Below are 18747 nucleotides of genomic sequence, written 5' to 3' on the forward strand. Positions count from 1 at the left end.
GGAGTTCGAGGCTGCAGTGAGCTAGGATTGTACCACTGCACTCCAGCCTGAGCAACAGAGCAAGACCCTGCTTCAAAAAAAAAGAAAGATTTGAGGGGGCCCAGAGTGAGGCCTGTGATGACCACAGGTGTCCCCTGACCCTCAGGCATGGTATAAAGGGACATTGGGTGGATATATTAGGCTGTTCATGCATAGCCATTAAGAAAGGCTTGAGGCTGGGTAATTTATAAATAAAAGAGGTTTAAACTGGCCGGCATCTGCCTGGCTTCCAGGGAGGCCTCAGGGACCTTTTACTCATGGCAGGAGGCAAAGTGGGAACAGGCACTTCATATGACAAAAGCAGGAGCAAGAGAGAGAGTGGGCTGCAGGAAGGTGCCATATACTTTTCAACCACCAGATCACATGTGAGAGCTCGAGTGTACTTATCACCAAGGGAATGGCACTAAGCCATTCATGAGGGATCCACCCCCACAATCCAAATACCTCCCACCAGGCCCCACCTCCAACACCGGGGATTACATTTCAGCATGAGATTTGGGCAGGGACAAATATCCAAACTCTATCAGTGGGGTACTACTACACTTTGAACATCTGCTTATATTGCCTAGAACCTGGAAGAAGATGCTGTAATTTTTCAATCTTCTTTCATTTCAGCTGTTCATGCCAAGAGCCTGGTGGCCATCTTACACCTGCTCGTTGCTCTGTCTCAGTATTTCCGCGCACCAATTCGACTCCCAGACCATGTTTCCATCCAAGTGGTTGTGGTCCAGGTAAGACAGGTAACACTACAAACATCTGTGTCTTTAAAGAGTCGTGGAGGTCGAGTTCCTATGGTGCGTCGAGTAGGTCATTAGAAGGATGGCTGCATGAATGTTGAGTGAGCCTGGGTGTGCAGTATATTGGGAGGCACTGAATGAGCTTTCTGTTGCATGTTGGCTTCCCCTGGTAAGTGTACACAAGATGGAAGAGCGTGTGCTTGTGTATAGATAGCTTTGTGTGGGGTATGTGCCTATGGTTTATGTGTTTTTGTCTGAGTTTTCTGTGTAATGTGTAGATGAGGGTGTGCGGTATGTATGTGAGCTGTGTGTCATGGGGTCAGGAGGAAAGGTATGTGGGTGTGTGTGTGTGTGTGTGAGTTTGTGTACAGGAGTGTACAGGTGCCCTGCAAACCATGGAGAACCATAATATTTTGGTTAAACAAATGATACTTAGGTATGGGGAGAACGATATCTGTGCATATAAGGGAATGTGTGTGTACATGTGCATGTGTTTGAGAGAGACCCCAACTGGCCATGTCTGTAGTGAAGGTACTGCCACTGTTCACCCACTCACAGAAGCACAGCTGGGATCTCAAGTCATCTTTTCCAGATTGTTGGATGGAATTTCCATTCACATATGGCTGTGTAATTTCCACAATGAGGGTGTGCTCTCTCCCTGTGACTATCTCACTCCGCTCCTAACCCCATTAAATACCCAAATTCAATTTTATTTTCCAACTTTATACCCATTTAGCAAAAGGTCATCCTTTTGTTTGCTTGTTCCTGTTCTTTTCCAAATAAACATGCAGCAAAGGAGAGCTCTCCATCTAAGCAGCTCCCTGGCGATCCAGGCTCTGGAATAGGGAATGATAACAGTGGCTCTGCCATCCCTTGATAAGAAAAAGCCTTGAGGGCTGGTAGACTTTGCCCTGTCAGACCAGGCCAGTTTCCAAGACAAAAGGACTTTGAGTTGAACTTCCAAGGATCAGCTGTCAACAGGAGGAGACAAGGAAATGGTCCTCCTAATCAACTGATCAGTTGTCCCCCAGTGAAAAACTATTTATTCCACACCTCTGGGTACTTAACTCCACTAAGCATTAAGAAGGTATAACAGGAATATGACACCTCGGCCCTGCCTGCTGAGGAGATAGGACTACAAGTAAGAAGCAGAGAGGGCTCATAGGAAATGGGAATGTGTGTGGCTCAGATACCGAGTGCCACTGGCCAAAAGGTCCTAAATGTCCTCGTTATTGAGCTCTTCACTTGTCTCAAACATGGCACTAAGCATTTTATGTCTGCTATGGATATGTGGCCAACTCAGACTACTCTGGTTCAAGCATCTTCCTAGTGAGTCCAGGTCATCTCTGTCATGTTATTTTTACCAATCAATGATGTGTGAATGCAATTCTTTATGTTTTTAAAAACTACAATTAGGGAGGCAGAGATGAATAGGTGGACATCGTCCCCATAGGTGGGAGCACAGAGGATTTTTAGGTACATGTCACTATACATTTGTCAAAATCCATAGAATGGACAGCACCAAGAGTGAACCCTAATGTCAGTTATAGACTTTGGGTGATAGTGACAGTATCAATTATAAGCTCATCGGTTGTTAAAAGTGTATCATTCTGGTGTAGGATATTGAAAGTGGGTGAGGACAAGTATGTGTCAGGGCAGGGAATATATAGGAAATCTCTGGAAATGTCTGTACCTTCCTCTCAATTTTGCTGTGAACCTCAGACTGCTCTGGAAAATATAGTCTGTTTTTTTTTAATCATGGTTCCTGAAACAGTTCATGAAAGAGTACTTTAAAAGTGACCACATATCACTAACATTGAAATTTTTAAAAATTATTTTCATAAGTAAACATACTGCTGTTATATTCATTTATAATAGCTCTCTTATCACTAGAGGAGATAAATACTTTTATGTAAATTGCCCTTCTTTATCTTCTCTTTTGTGACAAATCCAGTCCAGTTCTTTGTGCATGAATTTGTTGAACATCTTAAGACTTTTCTTATCAGCTAGAATAAACAGCCCTCTAACAGAAATAATAAAATCTGCCTGCTGGAATTACTACAGACTGAATGATGACTGAAAATGTGAGCAGGAGAGAGGGGGCTTCTATTTTGAAACAGTGGTCATTGCAAGCCTGTGTCTCCTGCCTTATTTTGAGCTCAATTATAGGCCATCAGAAGCCTGTTGTCAGTTTAATTTCTCCTGTAGGCTGTTTTGTTAGCATGAGGGAGAAAAGAGGACATGTTCCATAAAATGGCATTAATGCACATCAGGTTTTATGGGGTGTTTTTGCTTTATCAAGTTGAACAGGCACAGAAGCAAGACTCAGAATTGGTGGTGAGTCACAGACTGAACCACAGGGAGAACTCTTTAGGGAACAAATAATGGGTGGAGGTGAATCAGGATGCTGTGTGAGGGGTTATTGAACCCAGATTTCTTTTCCATTCTATGCAGAAGCATTTAATTTTGCAGAAAGTTGGAGATGAGGTTTTACGTCTATGAATGGCCATGCAGGACAAGGACACAGATTCCATTAACCCCACATGAAAACACAGCCTGTGTTGAAACTGCATGTGGAAAGAAGTCCTGATTTATCTTCACCTGGTCCTCTTTAAATGATAGATTTTTTTTTTTCTTTTACCTCCTTTTTTGTTTTGATTAGTCCATTCTTAATCTAAGCCAGATAGACTCTTGGTCTTATCCAGTTCTTCCTTTCTTCTGTAAAAGTATTTTGCAAGGACTCTGGGTTCTGTGGAACTTTGGGCAGGAGGCTCGAGAAGGCAGGGCTCAGATGAGCCACCCAAGTTCAGAGGCTCCTTCCTTCTTCACGCTCATCTCAGCCTTGGGGAAGATGCATTTGCTTGGTCAATCGCTTGCTATGTCACAGCATCCTCCAGGTGTCTGGTGCTGGTGGTGGAGGGACGTAGTAGAATGAATCTCCCTCCTCACACCCATCAGAAAGTCTTCCTGCACCCCAACATTACCTCCTTCGTCAGCTCCCATGCCCACACAGTGCTTTTTAAACCCTCCAAACTGGCACTCAGAGCTGCCCCCTGACTGATGGCAGCTGCCCTCCCCTGGATGGCCTCTGGAACACATTTGTGCGTCCTGCCTCTGCCTCTTGGCTGGGGCCATTCCTCCCATTGAAATAACCCCTTCTCAGTGTCCAGCTCCAGGGCCCCCTCCCCTTGGAAGGTTTCTCTGACCATTCTAGCTAAAAGTGCTTGCTCCTGGCCTGCATTCAGCACTTTCTGCCGAGGGTGACCACGTAATCTATTATTCATAACACTTTTGAGATGAAAGGGAATCTTACTAATATGCTGGGACATCAGGGATAAACCAGGACTGTTTTGGGGAAACCATTCTCAGGTGTCTACTTCTTCTATCCCGATTGACTTTAGCTCCTCAAGGGCAGAAACTATATCATATACTCCATAGTATTTGTTCTAACTCCAGCACAGGGCCTTGTACATAGAGGGCACTGATTAATGAAATAAACAAGAAAGAGGATAAGTTGATGGGAGAAGTGTGGACAGATGGATGGATGGATGGATGGACGGACGGACGGACGAGTTTCTAACATGCTTAACCTTTTCTCAGAGAATAAGCTAGTTACCTGAGTGAGGACTTACTACTTATTTAAAAGCTCCCATATTTATCAGTTAAAAAAAAAAAAAAAAAAAAAAACCAAAAAAAAAAACCCTCTGCCTCTTGTCTGAATTCCTAGTTGGCCTCAGTTCCTCCACCCAGCCCCCCAGTTAAATGTGTTTCTCAGCTTCCCTCTGTGGCCCCAGCTGGAGGGCAGACACACCCTGGCCTTCATTTCCATTTGGTTTATTGTGGATTACTCCAGGAGGCAAACAGTTTGCTTCCAGCAGCATGTCTTCCAATAAAGAAAGGAAAGATTCACCATCCAAGAAACAGCCTACTTGTTTGGACTAAACACTAATTGCACTTGCGTCCTAATGGTTCAGTCCAGTCCCTGAAAATCAGGACCTCCTTTCACTTCCAGCATTATCTTATCTTGGGTGCATTTCTTAAACACCAGTAACTTTCTCATTATCAGGAATGCTCATCAGTGTTTCTGTATTTTTCTAAAGCATAGTTTTCTCTTCTCCTCCCAACCCCTTTCCCCACCCCCATTTCAGAAACGAGAAGGAATCCTCCAGTCTCGGCAAATCCAAGAGGAAATAACTGGTAACACAGAGTATGTCAACACCATTGTTGCCAGCGATTCTGTAATGGAACACAGATGTTTCTCTGAAATTCATCCATTTGCTGATATTTAGTTTTCATTTATTGGGATTGCAGGAGGGATTAGACTTCAGCCAATGATTATAGTTTAGCCTTTTCCATGCATTCAAAACATGCCTCTCAATGCTTAAGGTACAAACTTGGGTGGGGAAGTAGGGAGACGGAATTAGCAGTGATTGAAAACTTCTAATTTTGTGCCACTCCAGGAAAAAGTGTGCCCAAAAAAAGCCAACCCAGCATGAAATCGTCATGCCATAAACACTGGGTTGAATTTAAATTGTTAACCTTCAAAAGGACGTTTTTCTTCCTTTTCTGAATCTGATTTGGGCATGTGCCATGACCCAGAAAGCCTCTCTACCTTAGATTTGTCTTTTGGTTTGGGGTGGTTTTTTTTTTTTTTTTTTCATTTATTTTTAGAAATTGGGATATCAGAACCTATCAAAATTTTGCCATGGGGAACAGGAGTTTTCTCCTCAAGCAGAAAAAAAATTCATAGTGTGGGGTGAGTTTGTGATCCCGAGAACTGCACCCTGGCCCCATGCAAAGTCAGGCAGTTAGCTTTCAGCATTCCCTGCTCCCCAGACTTTTCTCTGAGTCCCCCTTGAACAAGAGCAGCATAGTGCAAAGAGCAGAGGCTGCTAAGCCAACCCAACTTGAGTTCAAATACAGGCTCTGCCACTTACTCACCAGGTGAGTCCCTTAACCTCTCTGACCTCAGTTGCCCCACCCAGAGAGGTAGGAAAGATTTACTGTGGTCACAGCTGTGACTTCGTTCCCTTGCCCTCTGTAGCTGCTGTTCCATCTTTTCTCCAGCACAGCTGACCCGTACCTGCCAAGCCCATCCAGTCTCTAGGAGGTTCCTGCCCTCTGCCCAGCCATGACTGACAGGAGTCTGGGGCACTGCCCGTCTAGATCACATTGTGTACATGGCTTAACAAGGACTAAGGGGCGTGGGCATTCCAGGCCGAGACTAGGGGCCAGAGATGTAAAGTGGCCTTTCCCAAGATGCCCTGTTTATGGCCTATAGAGACCCCATCAAGCAGCCTCTGTATCACCTCAGAGGCCAGTCTTGGTAGCTGAAGGGTCAACTGATCTATAGGGCACACCTTGGCCTTGGTTCTGTGAGGGATGGGAGGAGCCAGGCCTGTTGGGAAAGGAGAATTCCTCACTGTCCCACCGCCCACCACCCCTCCCCTATGCTGGGCTTGCCTGTGCCCACTATTTCACCTCTGGGAAAGAAGACGACAGAGCAGAGAGGAGCATGGCCTGGGAGAAACTCCCAAACCAGGGAGTGTGAAGTTTCAGATTATTGAACAATCTCTCGGATGCATGTTATGCTTTCTATGGTCCCTCTCTCTGCCACAAAGACATAAACATGGATGCAATGTCCTAATAATGACAACACAGTACAATTTATGGGACACTTTCCTATCTATTGATATTGATAGTAAACACATGAAGCCATGATTACACCCCCTAAAACCCCACAGCCCAAGGGTGAGGAAGGAGACTGTGCCCTTGGTTTATCCAGCACTTAACTCCAAGTTCATTATTCTTTCCAGTGCACTACTTGCAAGTGCTCACTTAGTGGGTGACAGGTGTGCTGATGGATAAACCAATATAATAATCATTATGAGAACCAAAAGTGTATTTGGAAAAAAGTGTTTTGAGCATTTACTACATACTAGGAATTATGCTAAAATATTTCTAGATATTAAATCATTTAATAATCACAACATCTGATTTAAGTATTTACCATAATTATCTTCATTTTAGAGATGAGAGACCTGGTGCCCAGAAAGGTTCATTAGCTTGCCCAAAGTCACTGTATGAGTTTTTTTTCCACACTTCTGATAAAGACATACCCAAAACTGGGAATGAAAAATGGTGAAAAATGGTTTAACTGGACTTACAGTTCCACATGGCCGGGGAGGCCTCAGAATCATGGCAGGAGGCAAAAGGCTCTTCTTACATGGTGGTGGCAGAGAAAATGAGGAAGAAGCAAAAGAGGAAATCCTGATAAACCCATGGGATCTCATGAGAATTATTCATTATCATGAGAATAGTATGGGAAAGACCAGTCCCCATGATTCAATTACCTCCCCCTGGGTCCCTCCCACAACACGTAGGAATTCTGGGAGATACAGTTCAAGTTGAGATTTGGGGAGGGACACAGCCAAACCATATCAGTCACACAGCAAAAAAATCACTCAGTGCAATTTAAACCTCAATGATGTGTCTTTAAAGCTTGTGCTCTTGATACTATGCTGCTTCTCTGCTATGAGTGTGGTTCCAGTTCCTGCACTCTTTGAGAAAACCTACCCTGGGTCAATGGCAGGTACATCTTGGTGGGTACTACAGGGTGGACAGGAGAGAGACAAAGCTGACCTGCCCACAGCAACCTAGGCAGTAAAATTCTGCATTGAGGGGTTGCTTGAGCTCACTCGTAAGAATTCTAAGATTTTCTGGTTGGAAATCTTCAGCCCCTGAGTCCAATATTCTTTAACTGCAGGCAATAATATGACTTTATTTAAGGCAAAAAGTGATCCTTTAGGCATCACTATGCCAGGCTTTGCATTACACCACTATATGGGTGTAACTGGGGGGAAAATGGGTGGTAATGTGGTAAAGTCTCAATAATTGGAGGCCGTGCAGAATAAAATGCCAATGGAAGGAGGCTTTTTGAGCTCCTCAACCAAGGGCAGGTGGGTGGCAGGCAGCATGGGGTGGGCTTCCAGCAGTGATGGAGTGTCCTTTCAGAGGACTGGCCTCTTATAAGGGACAAGAGAAGAGTCACACTATTTTCTTTCTCTTTTTCCTCCAGGGCTCTTTCCGGGAGGCATGGTAAGTCACATAAGATTGTCCTCTGGCACTGGTGGCTGCACTGGGGCTTTAGTTAATTCCGCAGCAGCTGGGAGGAACAGGCTCTCAGCTTGTCACCTGGATATACGTCTTCACCAGCCTGGGTGACATGGCCAATTGGGTTGGGAGGGACAGCTTACTGGCGGGAAGAAGACTACCTACACCTGCACAGTTGTCTTGAAAGTTATCAGGCCATCATTGACCTTGCCATTTACAAAGCACTTTTGTAGCTATTGATGTTCACAGTAAACACATGAAGCCACGATTACACCCCCTGGGACCCCACAGCCCAAGGGTGAAGGAGGAGATTATGATCTTGGTTTATCCAGCACTTAACTCCGAGTTTATTATTCTTGCCAGTGCACTACTTGCAAGTGCTTATTTAGTGGGTGATAGGTGTGCAGATGGATAAACAACAATCAAAAAGAACCAAAAGTGTCCTCAGAAAAAAACGTTTTGAGCATTTACTATGTCCTAGGAAGTATGCTAAAATATTTCTAGGTATTAAATCATCTAATGCTCATAACATCCCACTGAAATATTTACTGTAATTATCCTCATTTTAGAGATGAGAGACCTGTAGCCCAGAAAGATTCATTAGCTTGCCCGAGGTGTCTGGATGGGTCCTGGGCATTTTCAGGGCAGTTCTGCTCTAATTGTCTCGTGGAAATAAAGGAAGACATGCATGAACACAAGGACTGTCCCCTGTCCCCACTCTGTCCTTCTAGAGACTGTCTTCTCTTTCTTCCCTCATCACAGCTCTTATCTCTTCCATTTATCACGACTGGGTTTGTTTGTTTATGAAGTCCATGAATGTTAGGGATCACCATCCCCTTCCTGGTAGTCTCAGATTTACCCACTGGTGCCAGAGTTGGAAAAGGCAGGCCTCAGGGCCTCGCACCCTCCCAGCCCCAGGTTCACCTTGGAGACCCTTCTCCTTTCCTGAGTCAGATCCCTTCCACTGTGTCACCTCTCAGTTCTGAGAACACGGAGGCTGCAGCAAGGAGAATCCCTGCAGGGAGCATGGCTTTGCTATTTTCTATGATCCTGATATTTACTGTGGGTAATATTTTGAAATATTTCAATCATGCTAAAAATTATTCACTTCAGGAGAACATGTCAGAGTTTACAGAGCACGCACATGCTTGTTCTCACACTTCATCCTCATGACAAACCTGAGGGAGGGTTATTTTTAAAATGACATTTTATAGAAGAGGAAACTAAGGCACAAAGAGTTGAAGTGGCCTAGATCACTTAAGAGGAAGAGCTCATATCCCATCCTGGAGCTCCCTGGCTCCCAGCCCTCTTCTCTGTGCCCTCTGCCAGCTTGTTTGTCATGGGTCTCCTGTTTTTGAAAATTGGGGGGTGAAATTATTTAATATTTGGATAACATTCTCCCTCTACAGAGGTTCAGAAACACCTGAACAATAGCTACGTTAGGATATAATGGAATACAATGAAGGGAAATGACTAATCCCGGGTCACACTACCTAAAAGAGCCCTGAGCCTGCCCCAATCCAATAATGTACACATGCACGGACACAGACACAGGCTCCCAGGGTGAGAATCACCCCAAATCTTAGCCCCAAATCACATTCCAGAGTTCCCGGCACAGTCTATACCCCAGAGGCTTCCCATCGGTAGTTGACCTTGTGACCTTGAGAGGCGCGTGGCTCTGGGACCCAAGGTGGGCTTCCCTGCCAGGGATCAGCTCTTGTGCTCCACATTGTGTTTCCCTCTTTTTCAGAACGTGATGCCTTTGACACCTTGTTCGACCATGCCCCAGACAAGCTGAATGTGGTGAAAAAGGTGGGAAAGGGGTGCCTGGGATGGACAGAGGGAAGCGAGATGCAACAGAACATTGGGAAAACCCATCCCTGCAGCTTGCGAGCTTCCTGCCAGAACTGGTGGCATCACCTAACCTCTGCACACACAGGGCTTTCCCCCTTGCCATCCATGTACCTGTCTGTTCCTCACTGGATGTTGCACCTGGGCCTTTTCCCCTCCATCAGCATGAACAGCCTGTCTTCCCACCCAGGCTAACCCCAGCAATCTCAGCCTTCCCCACTCCTCACAGAATTCCCTGTCTCCCTGGCCTAGGCACCTGTGCCGAAGAAGGGACAGGAAGGAGAGATCCAGTGGAATCATTTTATTTCAGTTCCCCCACCCAGACACTGGCTCAGACACTCCACCTATCATTCTGCCTCTTGGGACCTCCTTGTTCCTTACACGCCCTGAGTTGTATGGGACTGCAAAGTCGAGCCTGTGGCCCTCCCTGTGCACTCAATGGCCTTTGCAGAGAGAGCTCCTGGGCCCAGGGCTCTTGGCTGGGCCTGATCCTCTGCTTTCACCCTCACCCTTGCCCTCACGGGAGTCACGGAGCAGCCACAGGCTCCTGCACTAGTGCGAGTCCCCAGCTTAGGGCCTGCTTTGCTTCTCTTTTAGACACTCATCACTTTCGTGAACAAGCACCTGAATAAACTGAACCTGGAGGTCACAGAACTGGAAACCCAGGTGGGTGACAGACCCCAGCACAGGTAGAGGCAGGGCCCTGCCCTACAGCCCCTGTTCCAAGTGGCCCACCACACTTGGCCAGGAGGGCTTTCCCAGCTGAGGGGGATGAGGGCATGGGAATCTGTCCTACTCTGAGGGGTGGACTGAGTCTCTGTGGATTTTTTCCAACTTTTTATTATGAAAATTACAAGAATGAATACTCATATACCCTTCACTGGGATGCACCGATTGTTAATATTTGGCCACACCTCTCTCTCTTTCTCTGCACCCCTAAATGCTTGAGCATATGTCTCTCAAGAACAAGCACATTCTCTTAGGTAACCACAACACAATTATCAAAGGCAGGCAGTTTTAACATAATACATTAATCTGTTTAGATTGAATCATATGAAATTGCTGACATTCGACTGTTTTTGTTTTCTGTTTTGTTTTGTTTTTTGAGATAGAGTTTCACTCTTGTTGCCCAGGCTGGAGTGCAGTGGCAAGATCTCGGCTCACTGCAACCTCTGCCTCCCAGGTTCAAGCGATTCTCCTGCCTCAGCCTGCCAGGTAGCTGGGATTACAGGCATGCGCCACCAAGCCCGGCTAATTTTTTGTATTTAGTAGAGACGGGGTTTCACCATGTTGGTCAGGCTGGTCTCAAACTCAGACCTCAGGTGATCCACCCACCTTGGCCTCCCAAAGTGCTGGGACTATAGGCATGAGCCACCGCACCCAGCTGACTGTTCTTAACCTACTAAAATGGCAACATCATGTGGTTAGAAAAAACACTCTGTTCAGATTTTGCCAGTTGTCCAGTTTGCTCACATGCTGCATTTACTTGTCATGTCTCTTTAGTCTCTTTTTAACGTAGAACAACTCCTCGGCCTTTCTTGTTGTGGCACTGACACTTTTTGAAGTGTTCAGGCCAGTTGGTTTATAGACTGTCTTTTCTGCACATATTAGATTCAGGTCATGCATTTTCATTAACAGCACGTCCCAAGTAAGGCTGTGTTCTTCCCGGGGCATCCCAGGAGGAGGCACTCTGTCCATTAGTCCCACTGCTAGTGATAACTTGGATTATTTGGTTAGGATGGTGTTCACCGGATTTCCCTATTATAAAGTTATTTTTCCTCTCTTTATACTTAACTAATCTTTATTGGGGAGATATTTTGAGCCTGATGAATCCTGTTTCCCCACCTCCTTTCATTCTTGGTGAGCTTCTGCCTTATACTTCTCTTTCAGTCATCTGGGTACCTCCTTTTATTTTAAAGACAAATGCCAGCCTGTCGCTGAGCTCCACCTGAGTGTGTCTAGACTGTGTGAAATGAGCTTCATGTACTCTTGTAGGAAATAAGGAATGTTCTGGAAAAGTGACGCTTCCTTGAGTGAGCTAGAATGGGCCCTGGAATGATCAGCTCCGTTTTCAAGGGCAGGGAGTGCTATGACAGGGGTCACTGCCAAGCACTTTGGGTCTCTACAGTTTTATCTACTATTCCTACCAAGTCAGTGGAACCAGCCATGGGAGGTGAGGAGCAGTCTAAGCCTGGCACTCAGAGCTGTGAATGACCCCAACCCTAACCCAAGGTCACCCCTGAGCTCACAGATTGGATTCTTTTACTCCTAACTCCTTCTCACCACAGCTTGAATGAAGCCCAGTTGCTCAGCTCCCACCAGAAGGGCCTTGATTTTGACAGACTCTGGGGTCTGCTCTCCCGTGTCCACCTAGGGTGAGTCATGCTCAGGCCGTTCCCACCTGAGTTGCAGGCCTGATGGATAGAAGCTGGGAGGAGCTACCCTTTTGTTTTTGAGACAGGGTCTTACTCCTGTCATGCAGGCTAGAGTGCAGTGGCACGATCACGGCTTACTGCATCCTCAACTTCCCAGGCTCAGGTGATCCTCCCACCCCAGTCTCCTGAGCAGCTGGGACTACAGGCATGCACCAACATACCCGGTTAATTTTTTTGTATTTTTAGTACAGACAGGGTTTCACCATGTTGCCCAGGCCAGTCTGGAACTCCTGAGCTCAAGCGATCCGCCTGCCTCAGCCTCCCAAAGTGCTGCGATTACAGGCATGAGCCACCGCACTCGGCCAGAAGCTGCCTTTAAGGCAAGCGCAAGCTCAGGGTCTTGTGCCCTTAATGACGGCTGAGCCGCAGGCCGGCTAGCTGGCTACCTGGAAAGCTCTCTGAGCAGACTCTGGGCTCCTAAGGTGATTCCAAGAAATGTGGCCTTCTCTAAACCCCAGCAGCTATATACACTCATAAACATTTGGTGGCCCAGCCTCCTTTGAAAGGGTTCTAGAATGTCGGATGTGCATCTGACCTCTATGTCTTTGCTAGGCCATCCCCCCTACCTGGAACCCCCTACTCCTCCCAAGGTCCATCATCCCCGGCCTCCACAAGCCTGTCCTGAGCCCTCAGTGTATGCTCACTTCACCCAGCCCTAAGCAGAAGACCAGCAGCCTCCGCACTTAGCTGAGGGACTCTCCTGTCCCTTGGGCCTGGTTTCCCAACCCATCTGGCCTCTTCTGCCTAGGAAGGGACCGGGCTGCAAGCCTCCTGCCAGGGCCCTCAGCACATAGTTCTGCTTTTGCCAGCAAGAGCAAGTAAGTCATGTCCTGATTGCTTTGTTGTTTTCCCAGACAGTAATAGCAACATTTAATATTTATTCAATGCTACATGCCTAGCAGTTTACAGGCCCTCTCTGCATATTTAACTGGCTTAGTCCTCACGATAACTCTGTGACATAGATACTATTCTATTACCATCCCTGTTTTACAGATAAGACATATGAGTACAGAGAAGTGACATAACTTGCCCAAGGCATATAGCTAGTAGGTGAGAGAGCTGGAATTTGCACCTGGGAGGCCTGGCCCCAGAGCCCACATTCATAACAGCTGCACTCTGCTGCTGTAATACTGAAGAGAGATGGGAGAAAGAATGCCCAGCCCTGTGTGACACTAGTCCTTTCTCTGTTCAGAAAGCACAGATCTCCCCAGGAACCTCATGCCATTCACCTTGGACATCACCTCCCCCTCCTCCCTCTGTCCCACTCTAGCCAATCCTGCTCATCCTCAGCTCTCCACTCAGGCTCTGTCCCCTCCAGAAGACTCCTCTGATGCCTTCAGTGCTTGTGGGCGACCTTTCTCAACCTCACTCAGGCCAGCGAGCTTCCTTCCATCAGAGCAGCTGTGCCTTGCCCCCACACCAGTTTCCCTATTAGACTGTGTACTCCTCCAGGGCAGGAGCCACACTGACCACCCCCCACCCCCCACCCCCCACCATGCTCTGGTCCCCATGCCTAGACCAGGAGTTGGTACACAGCCTCTGTTCAGTAAATGCTGGGTCAGCTGAGATCAGGGCCTGGGCTTGTGGCTCCTGTGCCAGCCAGACGTGGGGCAGAGCAGACCTCCTTGTCTCGGGCCACTGCCCCTACCCCCGAGCTAGCAGCCTGGCTGGGGTGGTAGGCTTCAGGTGGCATAGCACAGAAGTTGATGGGCCCCCTGGATGGGGATTGGCTGGGAGGCTCAGGGGCCAGTGCCATCACCTGGCTCTTCCTCCAGTTTGCAGATGGGGTGTACCTGGTGCTGCTCATGGGGCTCCTGGAGGGCTACTTTGTGCCCCTGCACAGCTTCTTCCTGACCCCGGACAGCTTTGAACAGAAGGTAAGGAGAAGGGACATCAAGGGAGGCCCCCTAGCCCACATCCCCTGACTCATGTGCCCACACCCATGCTGGGGCTATCCAGAAAAAAGGCAGAAGCTTCCCCTCTGCTCAACGTCTTCAGTGCCTGGAGGTGGGACCCATTATAAGAGCTGAGCTGGGAAGGAGCTACCTGCAGACCACTGGGCATCCCTGACTGCCTTTCCCTTGCCCTGAAGCCTGGCCCGGGTCCCCTGCCCTGTGTCCCTGTCAAGTGCCCCAGCCCAGCCTCCTCTCTCCCCAGAGATGACAAGGAAAGTGACTGTGAAGCTGGTCAGCCCTGAGGCTCATGCTTAGCCTGGTTCTGATGGCCTCTCGTAGGCTGCCACATCCTGCTCGCTACACAAAGGCATTTGACCAGAAAGCCTGCTCTGCCTGTTGAACATGTCCTGCCATCTGATTCTTCCAGACGTGTGCACTGACACCCCCAATTTGAAGTCCTGGCAGTTTACACAGGAACACAGTAGGATATGAAGGGAGTTTTGTGCTTCTCCAGGAGTGCTTCTCCCAACAGCAAGCTAGGATCAGCTAGCTCACGCTCCAGGTGGCCTGCCCATTTTGGTAGCCATATTTCTCCTTGAAATTAGTTCAGCCTCTGTCCCTCTGGCTACAGTGCTGGGCTCCTTCACTTCCCAGGGCCAGGTCCTGGGGCTCCTGGGTGTGCAATGGTACATGCTGTCTGCATCTCTCTTGCCAGGTCTTGAATGTCTCCTTTGCCTTTGAGCTCATGCAAGATGGAGGGTTGGAAAAGCCAAAACCGCGGCCAGAAGGTACTTTGCTCTTTCCTGGGTTTGTGACAACAGAGTGAGACCCTCTCCCTGCACATGAGTACTCAGATTTTGTAGCAGAGGGAAGCATTTTCTGAAGCCTTCGTTGCTGGGGAAGGTGGGACTCGGTGCAGCTGCTCAGTCCCAGAGACCCTTTGTGAGCTGCCAGCTGCACAGCCAGGGGAAGAAAAGAATCTGAAATCCCACACATGCCATGCGTGGGATCGCGGGGATCAGGGACCGAGCAGAACTGCTGCTGCAGGAACTGCCCTGTGCCCAATTTCCAGGTTTTCCTGTCCCTGCACAGGGTGCTGACCTGCCAAAGAGCTGTGTCCCCGCCAGTCGGGGTGAAGGTGCAGCGCAGACAGTTCTGGGCTGAGCAAAACTGCTTCTCTCCTTACAGATGCGGAGCTCTGCCTGCTCAGACTCTGTCTGAGGACAGGCCATGATTTGTGGGGTTTGGGTTGTAAATATAAGTCTGAGGGGAAATGCAGAAGGGACAAGTGCTTCTGCAGCCCCTGCATACTCCTGCTAGGAGTGCACACGTGCATTCGTGAGCAGAGGAGGCACGCTTCTCTTAGTAGTCTTGGTACGGATGATTGCTTTCTGCCCCTTACTGACTGAAGTATTCCATTTCACCAGAGCTGGCAGGTCACCACTGTGTTGCAGATAATCTCCTGCATATGTCCCCTGGGAACACTGAGAATGCCATCTGTGGCCCTTTTGCTCGCACTTTTCTGGTAGTTTATAGGCAAGTGGATGAGTAGGAATGGTGGGCTCTCATGCCCCCTTCCTGCCTCTGCTCTGAGCTCCTCTATCCAAACCCCCACCTAGTGGGGGCCATGCCCTGGTCTAGTGGGCTTGAGACCCTGTAGACCATGATATAACAAGAGGGGTAAGACCTTCCTGAACCTCAAGGCACGTGTAGCCAACCAGGGAAGAGAAAAGTTGGAGCCAGTTAGCAAAATGAAATGACAGTCATGGGAACTGTTACGAAAGAGGTACAAGGAAGAGTCTGTGAGGACTGAGGAGGTGATACCACTTCTGTCTTGGGGGAGGAACAGTTTGATGGAGACAGTGGGGCTCAACCATAAGGACCAGGTAGGGCTTTGGTGTATGGAGACTGGGAGAGAAGTGTGTGCATGCCAGACAGAATGACAGCATGAGCAAAAGTCCCCCCGGGGAAGAATGGGGACCCTGTCTCATGACTCCTTCCAGACTCGTTATCTATTGACTCTAGCCAACAAAGGTCAACTCCTGTTCTCATTTATTACCACCTTGTCCTAAGCCCCTGGTCAACTGAGACCTGGGGGAGGACCTCTAGCAAGGCTGGTGTCCCCCTGGGGCTCTCTCTTTGGCAAGGCCACTCCAGCCTTCCTAATGCCATTAGGAATGGACTCTTCTTGTTCTGTGGGCAGATGATGAGCACCCTGCTTCTGGGAGGACAGACACAGTGAGAAAGTTCCGACCATCATTTTGCTTCCACTTTCTTCAACCACTTAATATGAAACTTCCTGGTTACAGATTGGAAGTACTTCTGCTATTTTAGAATTGGGATATTTCTTTCCCTTGGGACAGATAATTTTCCCAATATAAATCAATCTATGGGAATATTTTGGAATATAGGTGATATTTTTATGCAATTATTAAGTTGCTGAATGTGAAACTAACAGACTGATGTGGATGGAAAAACACGTGTTTTATTTGTTATGACACAGGGCATTATGCCCATGCTGCAAATTTCCAGTACGTAAAGGGGAATGGAAATAGCATTTTATGAAATTGTACTTTGAAAGAAGTGAATCCCAGCATTCCGTCTGGTTTTTATGCTTCTACCTGGAAAGTGAGATTTGGAAGTAAATGATGCAGACATTTCAAAGGGTGCCAATGTGGGTAATTCTTTGAGGGCATTTCAAAATCAAACTGGTTGTGGTGGAGGCATTTTTCATGGCAACATGTTTTTAAGGTCAGGAAAATGCATTCTCTGCTGTGCTGTTTAACACTCAAAGCTCTGTTGTGCCTTGAAATCCCCTAGAAACTGGGTTTGTATCTGAGATGACTTGCTGCCCAGGCTTCATGACCGTTTAGTGCCTGAGTTAGTGTAAGCCAAGGGTTAGCATCAAGTTCCTAACCAGTGGAGCAGTCGAAATAATGGCCAGGCATGGAAGCTCACACCTGTAATCCCAACACTTTGGGAGGCCAAGGTGGGCAGACGGCTTGAGCTCAGGAGTTTGAGACCAGCCTGGGCAACATAGTGAGACCCCACCTGTACAAAAAATACAAAAAAATTAGCCAGGTGTAGTGGTGCATGCCTGTGGTCCCAGCTCCTCGGGAGGCTGAGGTGGAAGGGATCGCTTGAGCCTGGGAGGCGGAAGTTGCACCACTGCACTCCAGCCTGGGCAACAAAGTGAGACCCTGTCTCAAAGAAAGGAAAAAAGGAAAGAAAAAGAAATATTGTCATGCAGCTGGCAGCTTTTTATTTAGGGCATCGTGCCACATGTCTTCAAATGCACATGTCCACCCTGTTATCACCTTTCAAGTAGACTCATCATCAATTATGGTTAAGACTCCAGAATAACAGGCAGGCAGGGACTCAGAAGACATCTAGTACCAGGCAGGATTGAAGTCTGTAGGACTAAATATCTAAAATTTAAGGAGTCTCATACCTGGGACCAGATGGCAAGCAATGCTGAAAAACCAAGCAGGTTATGGCAGCTTAGTTCCAGGTGATCACTTCATTTGGGGAAGACTTGGTCAGTGGCTGATAACATGGAAAATGTTCAACTCCCCCATTCCCCTAGGAGATAGTGTACAGAAGCCAATGGTGACAAACATTTAAAACTCTAATCATACCAAGTGTTAGCAAGGATGTAGAGCAACAGAAACTGCTGGTGTTCTAAATTGCTAGAACCATTTTATTTTTATTCAGTCCCTATTTAGCCGAAAGTAGAAAACAGTTTGTTCTCATCTAACATAGTTGAAGATTTGTAATACGCTATAAAATAATGTGGTAGACACCCCCTGCCAAAATAATGTGGTCTCCACCCCTGGCCAAAAACGTCCAGGTCCTAATCCTCGGTACCTGTTCATGTGTTATCTTACATGGCAAAAGGGACTTTGCAGATGTGATTAAATTTAGGGTCTTGAGATGATGACATTATCTAGGTGGTCCCAATGTCATCACAGGGGTCCTTATTATAAGTCGAAGTGGGAGGCAGGAGTGTGAGGGTGATGTAGCATAAGAAAGGCTCACCCAACCATTGCTGGCTTTGGGGATGGAAGAGGTCTATGAGCCAGAGAATGCAGGCAACCCCAGAGGGTTAGAACATGAGTAACTAACTGCCTTATGGCCACCTAACTTATTCCATCCCCCACTTGGAAAGAACAAGTGTAACGATCTCCATTTCGAGCCTCCAGAAAAAAATGCAGCTGTGCTGACACCGTGATTTTATCTCAGTGAGATGGATTTGGGGCTTTTGATTTCTAGAATTCAGAGATAATACATTTATGTTGTTTTTAGGCCACCAAATGTGTGCTAATTTACTACAGCAGTAATAGGAAGTTAGCACACTCCTTGACTTAGCAATTCCATTCATAGGTACGTATGTCCATACACCAGGAGACAAGCCCAAGAATACCCATGATAGCATAGGCTGGAGTGTACATCCCAGTAGACTAGCTACATAAATTGAAGCATATTCATATCATGGATTATAATACAACCATGACAATAAAAAAGACTGAACTGAGAAGTCAGGGCAGGAACTTCTAGTTACTGTAGCCTGAAGAGATCAGTGACTATTCTCTGCAAAAAAGCAAGTGTAAAACTGGACAAAAATCATCAAAACAATGATTTTGAAGCACTGAAAACCTACCAGAGGTAGACAACAAA

The 18747-nt window shown here is 47.2% G+C and overlaps 1 protein-coding gene across 2 annotated transcripts in view; it reads left to right on the forward strand.

Moving 5' to 3' along the window:
• Window positions 1–18747, forward strand: part of PARVA (parvin alpha) — a 158921-nt gene that overhangs the window by 127224 nt on the left and 12950 nt on the right. For both annotated transcript variants that reach the window (XM_005253015.4, NM_018222.5), the window contains exons 6-12: window positions 655–770; window positions 4925–4983; window positions 7855–7874; window positions 9640–9701; window positions 10338–10406; window positions 13951–14052; window positions 14786–14858. In XM_005253015.4, the coding sequence (XP_005253072.1) occupies window positions 655–770; window positions 4925–4983; window positions 7855–7874; window positions 9640–9701; window positions 10338–10406; window positions 13951–14052; window positions 14786–14858 (501 nt within the window). The remainder of the gene's footprint in view (window positions 1–654; window positions 771–4924; window positions 4984–7854; window positions 7875–9639; window positions 9702–10337; window positions 10407–13950; window positions 14053–14785; window positions 14859–18747) is intronic.

The sequence above is a fragment of the Homo sapiens genome, chromosome 11, assembly GCF_000001405.40.
Source record: "Homo sapiens chromosome 11, GRCh38.p14 Primary Assembly".
Taxonomy (NCBI): Eukaryota; Metazoa; Chordata; class Mammalia; order Primates; family Hominidae; genus Homo; species Homo sapiens.